General features: G+C 40.9%; 1 pseudogene across 1 annotated transcript, besides 1 other annotated feature; it reads left to right on the top strand.

Moving 5' to 3' along the window:
- Positions 3,084–3,333: a silencer, noted in NCBI's record as "silent region_4824". NCBI's record gives its function as "represses an Ori minimal core promoter by ATAC-STARR-seq in GM12878 lymphoblastoid cells {active_cell/tissue: GM12878}" and the evidence as "EXISTENCE:reporter gene assay evidence [ECO:0000049][PMID:35858748]".
- On the top strand, positions 3,265–3,886 carry LOC728739 (programmed cell death 2 pseudogene; annotated as a pseudogene). Its single transcript, NR_037629.1, has one exon. The product of NR_037629.1 is annotated as a programmed cell death 2 pseudogene (transcript).
- Positions 3,887–8,277: the final 4,391 nt, after the last annotated feature.

Raw genomic sequence — 8,277 nt, 5'->3', positions numbered from 1 at the left:
AGTTGGGCAGCCTTTCACAGGTTACTTAATGTAATTGCTACAGATGATCGTGTAGCAAATTACCACAAATTTATCAGTTTAAAATAACATATATTGATTATTGTGCAATCTCCACATGTGCGCATGTACACACACACGCACACACATACAGACACAGACACATGCTTAACCAGAAATGGGGAACTAGTGGTACAGACAGGTTCCTAAGAGAGCCCAAAAGATGACTTCCTCGTCTCAGGGAATCAGAATAAGTAATATTTGAGCTGGGTCTAGGAGAGTAAGAAGGAGACCACCAAGGGTCATTATTACACACTTAGAATACTGACTGAAGTGAATTAAGATTTACTGCTCAAAAAACATGACAGAAAAACACTCAAAAGCAGCTTTTCTCACCTGGGTGGTCATCTGTAACATGAAAAACTTATCATCCTTATCCAAATATTAATTATTACACCAAAATTATAAGGTAGATATCAAAAGGGCAGTCATCCCTATAAGGCAAATTTGTACACTTCCTGGCAACGTGGATAGTGGTTCAGATTTCTAGCAGCTGCTGATGCCAAGCCTAGGCAGTAACTAAGCAAGGAACAGAAACCGAGGAAAAAAGAAAAGAAGGGGAAACCTAAGTTTTTGACTCACAAGACAGGTTCTGCTCCCACAGATATCCTTCTGAGAGCTCCCAGGCCCAGAGCTATCTAGAGGGAACATGAGACTATCCACTATCCACAATCCATCATTGCAAGACTGAATAAACAAAACGTGGTCTATGCATTCAGTGGAATATTACTCAGCCATAAAAAGGAATGAAGTACTGTCTTAGTTTGGGCTGTTATCACAAAATACCATAGACTAGGTGGCTTACAAACAATTGAAATTTATTTCTCACTGTTCTGGAGGCTGGAAATCCTAGACCAGGGTGCCAGTATGGTCAGGTTCTGGTTAGTAGCCTCTTCAGGATTTCAGACTGCTGACTTCTCACTATGCCCTCACATGGTGGAAAGAGGATGCCAGAGCTCTCTAGGGTCCCTTTTATAAGGGTACTAATCCCATTCATGAGGAGTCTGCCCTCATGCCTAATTGCATACCCAGGGCTCCATCTCCTAATACCATCACGTTGAAGGTTAGGATTCAACATATGAGTTTGGGGGTAACAGAAACATTCAGTCCATTGTAATTACTAGTACATGCTACAATGTGGATAAACCTGGAAATCATACTATTTTTTTAAAAGCCATTCAAAAAATAATACATGCTGTATTATTCCATTTACATGGAATATCCAAAGTAGGTAAATCCACAGAGGCAGAAAGCGGATTAGTGGTTGCCAGAGCCTGGGGATGAGGGAAATGGGGAATGACTTCTAATGGGTATGGAGGTCTCCTTTGGGGCTTATTAAAATGTTGTGAAACTAGATAGAGGTGTTTATTGTACAGCATTGTGAATGCACACAGTACCACTGATTGTACTCTTTAACATGGTCAATTTAATGTCAGGCAAATTTTGCCACAGTAAAAAAAATAAATAACCCCAAGTAGGAACCTTATTTCTAATGGTTGTCACAGGGCTTAGTTTACACCAATGTCACCTCCTCCAAAACAAATAACTATTTAATGAGCAAAGCCACACAAACAATATGATAGCCTGAGAAAAATCCTTGAGACTCCTCCAAAAAGCAACACTTCAGGTACACATAATAATTTGTAAAGTAACATAGTTTATCCTAATTCTGAAAGGCAATTAAACATATACATATGTATGTATATATGTACACATGTACATGAAATGGAAGTCACTTAATAGAAATATAAACCAAATAATAAGATCCAGTTAGATAAGAACTGCACACAGGTCTCCTTTAAATGGTAAAAGTGAAATTCAAAGTTTCCCATGGCTTGCAAATGCAAAGACAGACTCACAGAGCCTTTTGTGAATTTGGAAGTTGAAGGGAACTATCTGATCTCAGATGAAGATTAACCATTCAAAAGTTTATTTTGATTGTTTTAACTAAATTGCTCCATTTCTTTTAAGTAAAAAAAGAAGTGCCTTAAATTTATCCTTCAGTCTATTAAAAGGGGAATAAAAACTCTTAACTCCAAAACAGATAAGGGCGTTCTAGTGTCTGATCTTGATTGACAAGCTGTGGCTGTCTTAGCTGTTCACCATAAAACTCAACATGAAAATATGAAGTTTCTAAATGTCCTTTGCTCTCATTGAACGAATTAACTAAAAAATAATGGAATGCTATTGTCATTAAGTTCAAAGCCTACTCCAAAATCATCAAGTTCACTTATAATAGTCTACTGTACTAAGTGGCCTCTTAGCAATTCCTTCAGCAGAAATATTTAAGAATCCGAGTGAAAAATAAAATTCAACTTAATTAAAAGATTCTCCTTGCATTTTGATTATCAATATTGCCAATAAGAAGGTGCATTGGAGCCGGGCGCGGTGGCTCACGCCTGTAATCCCAGCACTTTGGGAGGCCGAGGCGGGCGGATCACGAGGTCAGGAGATCGAGACCATCCTGGCTAAAACGGTGAAACCCCGTCTCTACTAAAAATACAAAAAATTAGCCGGGTGTAGTGGCGGGCGCCTGTAGTCCCAGCTACTTGGGAGGCTGAGGCAGGAGAATGGCGTGAACCCGGGAGGCGGAGCTTGCAGTGAGCCGAGATCCCGCCACTGCACTCCAGCCTGGGCGACAGAGCGAGACTCCGTCTCAAAAAAAAAAAAAAAAAAAAAAAAAAGAAGGTGCATTGGAAACGTATCAAACCTGTTCCCCCAAAACATCCTTTTCCCAATTTCTGTAACAAGATGGTTTTATTGTGTCATGTTATAACAAGTCGGTCAAGAAAGTAAAAATCAGAGTTTAAAGAAAGGGCTCAGTGTGTCCAGAAGAGAGGTACTGAGAGGAAGACTCACTTTGGAGGCTGTAGCCTACAATTTTCAGATATTGCCTCACAGGTGAAAATATACTTGGAGTATCTTGGAGAGAAAAATACAAGAGAGTTGAAAGTTTTCCAAAGAAAAACACATCAAAGTTCAATGGGAGGCCCAGCTGTGGGCTGCTCCCCACGCCAGCCCGCGCCCCACATGGCTGCCGCCCCCGCCGGACCTGTGTAGCTGGCCATCGCCAAGTCGGCGCCGGCGGGCGAATGCGCAGCGAGCAGTTTCCCAGCAGGCTGGGCGGGCGGCCAACGTGGCTGGGCGTGGCTGGGCGTGGATGGGCGCGGCCGGGCTGCCGGGGCTCCGGCCCCCGGCCTGAGAGCTGTGCGACCGTCGCTCTTCTTCCGGCGGCAGGTGTACGCGTCGCTGCCCGGCCGCGAAGACGCCTTCCACCGCGGCATCTTCCTCTTCTGCTGCCACGAGCCGCCGTGCTGTGCCGCCCTGCGAGTTTCTAGGAATCAGCTACCCAGGAAAAATGATTTTTACTCATATGAGCCACCTTCTGAGAATCCTTCCCCAGAAACAGGAGAATCGGTGTATCTCCAACTTAAGTCTGGTGCTCATCTCTGCAGTGTTTGTGGCTGTTTAGGCCCCAAAACTTGCTCCAGATGCCACAAAGCGTATTACTGCAGCAAGGAGCATCAGACCCTAGACTGGAGATTGGGACATAAGCAGGCTTGTGCACAACCAGATCATTTGGACCTTACAACTCCAGACCACAACTTCCTTTTTCCAGAATTTGAAATTGTAATAGAAACAAGATGAGATTATGCCTGAGGTTGCGGAAAAGGAAGATTATTCAGATATTATAGGGAGCATGGTTAAGCAGTTTCAGGACTTCATTCATTAAGTGGTTAAACTTAATGCTTGGAAGAAAGGTCTCAATGTGTCTAGAAGAGAGGTACTGAGAGGAAGACTCACTTTGGAGGCTGGAGCCTACAATTTTCAAGGATTGCCTCAGGTGAAAATATACTTCCTGGACTTTGTTTCCTGACATATATCAGGTGTGTTCTGCTCCCTATAAAGACAAGAGGAGGCGGGTATCCAGATGGTCCCACGAGTAGGGCTACACAAGATGCTGGAGGCTTGGTAAGTTCCTCTGGGTCCCAGATCTTTTTCTCAGGTCGGGATAGTGTGAGTGCCTAGCACAGTGTCGGGCATGCAGAAGGGCCCCTTAAAAGTTTCTCTTTCATCTGGCCAGTTTTAGATACACAATTTTGTCAGTTTATCTGCAGTGCATACTCTTGGGTAGTGCCTGTGCTGACCAAGTATCTTAGAGGCTTATTTTATTATAGTAGCCAACATTTATCCAGCACTTAACCTTATATAAAGGGCTGTTTTTGCATGAGCTAATTAAAATCCTGAGAGTAGACCAGTAAGTCAGAAACTCTGCCCCGTTTTGAAGGTGAGGAAATTGAGGTTCTGGGTATAACTTGCTTTGGTCACATAATGTTAAGTTTTACAATTTGAGCCTTGAGCCATACACAAAGCCACCATAAACATTAGATTTATAGACTCAAAATGAAAACATCAGCTTACTGGTTTGTAGTTCATACCAGTCATACATTCCAAAACATGTTTGAGTCTTACTCTGTGCCTGACCTTGTGCTTGATAATATGGATATAATGGGAAGCAACCCTCCAGTGGTCATGCTCACAGTCTCATGGAGGACCCCAAATAATACTTATGGAAGATAAATTCCATGTAATGACTGATAAGAGTACAATACAGGTGTCATGGGAACATGTGACATTACTGAAGACTGCCTGGAAGGGGACACACATGTGTTCATACCAATAAGATGAAAAGGATAAAGAATGAAAATGCTTACCTTTAGGAGAAGGAAGAGCCTAGAGTAGGAGGGTCAAGGATGAAACCTGGACTTCAAATATGCCTTGTTTATGTAAATGTGACTTCGGAACTGTGTGAGTATTTTAAGATACTAAAATCAGTTTTAAAATAAGTTTTAAGAAGCAGTCCCTAATCATCAAAAGTAAAAAACTCTTGATGTAGTCATATACCCACACTAAGAACTCTTCTAGGTGACTTCAAAACATAGGGCAATACATCTCTAGTGGAATATACCCTGAGAATGAAAAGAACGTAACAGTGTTAGTATTTTCAATAAACATGTTATTACTAGACTGTTGCTGTTATTTTGAGATGGTTGTGTGTGTATTGGGGGATAAAGCAAATGAGTAATTATGTTGGTGTTACTGAGAACTGAGGTGTTGGGCATGGGAGGAAGATTTTGTTGATTGTGTCTACATACCATTCTCTCTAAAAGGAACTCCAGGCTCTTTGGAGAGGTCGTTGATTCCAGAACTGGGTCAGGAAATGTTCAAATAATGTGGGAACATGGTCACATCAACAAGGTCATATGAAAGATTAAGGAAGCTAGCAAGGATTACTAGGGCCATGTCAGAAGAACTCAAGCAACATGAAAAGGCTCCTGTTGGCAAAAGATAGACAGTTTGCACATCCTGCATCAGATATGTTTAACGAGTTCAAAATAATACTTAAAAGAACTCAGTAATCATCTTTGTAGGATACTTGGGAACAGATTCATTATTTTCAAATTGGTAAATAAAAGGAAAGAGTTTGCATTATAGGGGTACATAACTTAATTATGAATGAAGTGATATCTGTGGGATTTACTTCAGAGTAATCGAGTTGGAAGTGGCAGAGAAAGGAAACACTGGACTTGATAGTGTTGAAGCTGATTAATGGTACGTGGTGGTTCATTATAGTATTTCCACTTTTGTATATGTTCAAATTTTTCCAAAATAAAAGGAGAATTAAAGAAAAAAATTCAATGGGAAACAATCCTTTAACAGAAATTCACTTTATTGTAACCACTCTCAGAATCACATGGTCCATGATGATGAGATGTACCCTTAATATATGGGGCTCAGGCTTAGGAGGGAGCTGAGTGTTTTTAAGCAGAGTGGAAACAGCTGTCATGCAACTCAACATCGGCATCCTCACCAGTACCAAGTCCTTATCACGGGAGCTCAGGACTTACCAAACTCATATTTCTCCTAAAAGCTAATGTATCAGTCCATTCTGACATTGCTATAAGGAGCTACCCAAGACTGGGTAATTTATAAAGAAAAGAGGTGTAATTGGCTCATGATTCCACAGGCTGTACAGCAAGCATGGCTGGGGAGGTCTCAGGAAACTTACAATCATGGTGGAAGGTGAAAGGGAAGCAGGGATGGCCTACATGGCTGGAGCAGGAGAAAGAGAGAGAGAAGGGAGGTGCTACACACTTTCAAACAACCAGATCTCGCGAGAACTCACTCACTATCACAAGAACAGCAAGGGGAAAATCCACCCCACCATCCAATCTCCTCCCACCAGGTCCCTCCTCCAACACTGGGGATTACAATTCAATATGAGATTTAGACAGGGACACAAATCCAAACCACATCAGCTAACTAAAAAAACAACTGTTTCTAGGCCCTCTTCATAGCTTTTTTTTTCTTCATTATTTGCAATTCCAGAATTTGCTAATAAAGTAAGTGCAAATTTTGATCTGCAGTATTCGTGATTGGTCAGCAAATGTACGGAATTCCTATCTAACCTCCCACCTTGGAGTGGCTCTCTGGGAGGATAAAGGAAGGAAGGAAGGAGTATGGCTTGGAAGCCAACTGAAATTGAAGAACCCACAGAACCACTTTCAGTAAAGACCCTTTATTTCTGCCACTTGTTAATACTGTTTAGTAAATCCTATGCTGAATCCTATGTCTAGACTTGAAATCTGTATTTGTTTTGAAATACTTTCTTTTGCTCTCATCCCATTTGCTATTGGAAAAGAACAAGAAGTCTCAGCCTTCATGACTTCATAAGGAAGAGAACGTTATCTTACAAATTTCCACCCAATTAAAAATATAATTGTTTTTACAACTTTACTTTGGAGCACAAGCATAACTTTTTAAAACTGTATTCCACTTTTATGAAAAGTGGATTATTCTGGATTAAATCATACAATTCCTCTGCCTACCTGTGCTCACAGCATCATTATGGTAACCTTTTTCATCCATAGAGGACACACCCAGAACAGATGTCACCATTATCTAATGATTTCCTGCTAGAGAAAAACGAATGGGGTTAGCAAGTCATGTGGAACTCAACCTCACCTACATCAGAATTTAATGGCCCCATCAATCCAACAGTACTTGGTGAGTGGTCAATCTCTAAAGTCAATCAATTATGAAAAAAAATAGAGAGACTACCAGAAGATGTCTAACAGAATGGAAGGTCAAATTTCTCATCTAGTGCAGAGGGAGCACAAAGAACACTCCTCCCCCACTCACTTGTGTGATTATGGCAACAAATCTGGGATGGACAGCACAAAAGGAACTATCCCAGGTCACATGAGAAACCCGGATGTCATCATAGCACTGGTCATTTTTCACCACTAGACCAAGTATATTCCAAAACTCGCTCTGATGTACCACTCACTTCATGTGTCTGCAGAAGAGCAAGAATTATGTCAGAACTTCACAAACTCAAAACTTTGCTTTCATCAATGAAAAGCTGCAACTAGAAAAAACAAAATGGTGTGATATTCTGTCTGCTCTCCTAAGAAGCAGCCAAATTGCAATCCAAATCTCCTTTAATGGCATATACCCAGAGAAAATGCAAAATACCTCAGAGGTAGAATTATACAGAAACGAAAAATCCCTAATTCAAAATCCAGAAACAGTTCATCATTTTTAATTGCAGGAGAAAGATCAGTGGGAAGGATAAAAGCAAATTAGATTTGGGGAGCTTTCACGGCAATAACCACTGCAACCTTATCCTTTGATAGATAAGAAAACTCTAAAGGTAAGAAGTTTTCTGGTAGGTGTGAAGCTGAAGAAAGCCCCCAAACAATTTATGGTTTTGTGGCTTTGTCCTCAGACTGCCAAGGTAATTTTTCAGTTTTTAACCATTTTCCCCAGACATTAGCACTCTGCTGAGAACTGTGCCCATACACCAATGTCTCCAAAAGAAAAATTACATTTAGTGGGGATTCAACAGAAACACAAGCAACCACCCTTGTCTTCAAGAGCCTTCCATTCTCCTCCTGACACAGGCATTCTAATACAGCCTGTCTGTCCTCCCCATTTCCTACAAGCCTGCACATCCTCAAACAATTAGGCCCAGGGATAATCCCTTACAAACTGATATCTCTCCTTTAATCAGCACTTAACTTCCCAAATCCATTTGAAATTTTAATCTCTCTTCTTTTATCCACCGCTGTATTTTTTAGGCAATTTCTCTTCCCTATTTTTAGAATAAGAATTTAAAAATAACTCTGATTTTAATTATTTTTTAAAAATAATGCA

Source organism: Homo sapiens, chromosome 12 (genome assembly GCF_000001405.40).
Source record: "Homo sapiens chromosome 12, GRCh38.p14 Primary Assembly".
Lineage (NCBI taxonomy): Eukaryota > Metazoa > Chordata > Mammalia > Primates > Hominidae > Homo > Homo sapiens.
The sequence above is the reverse complement of the archived record's forward strand: the minus strand, read 5'-3'. Positions and strand labels throughout refer to the sequence as shown.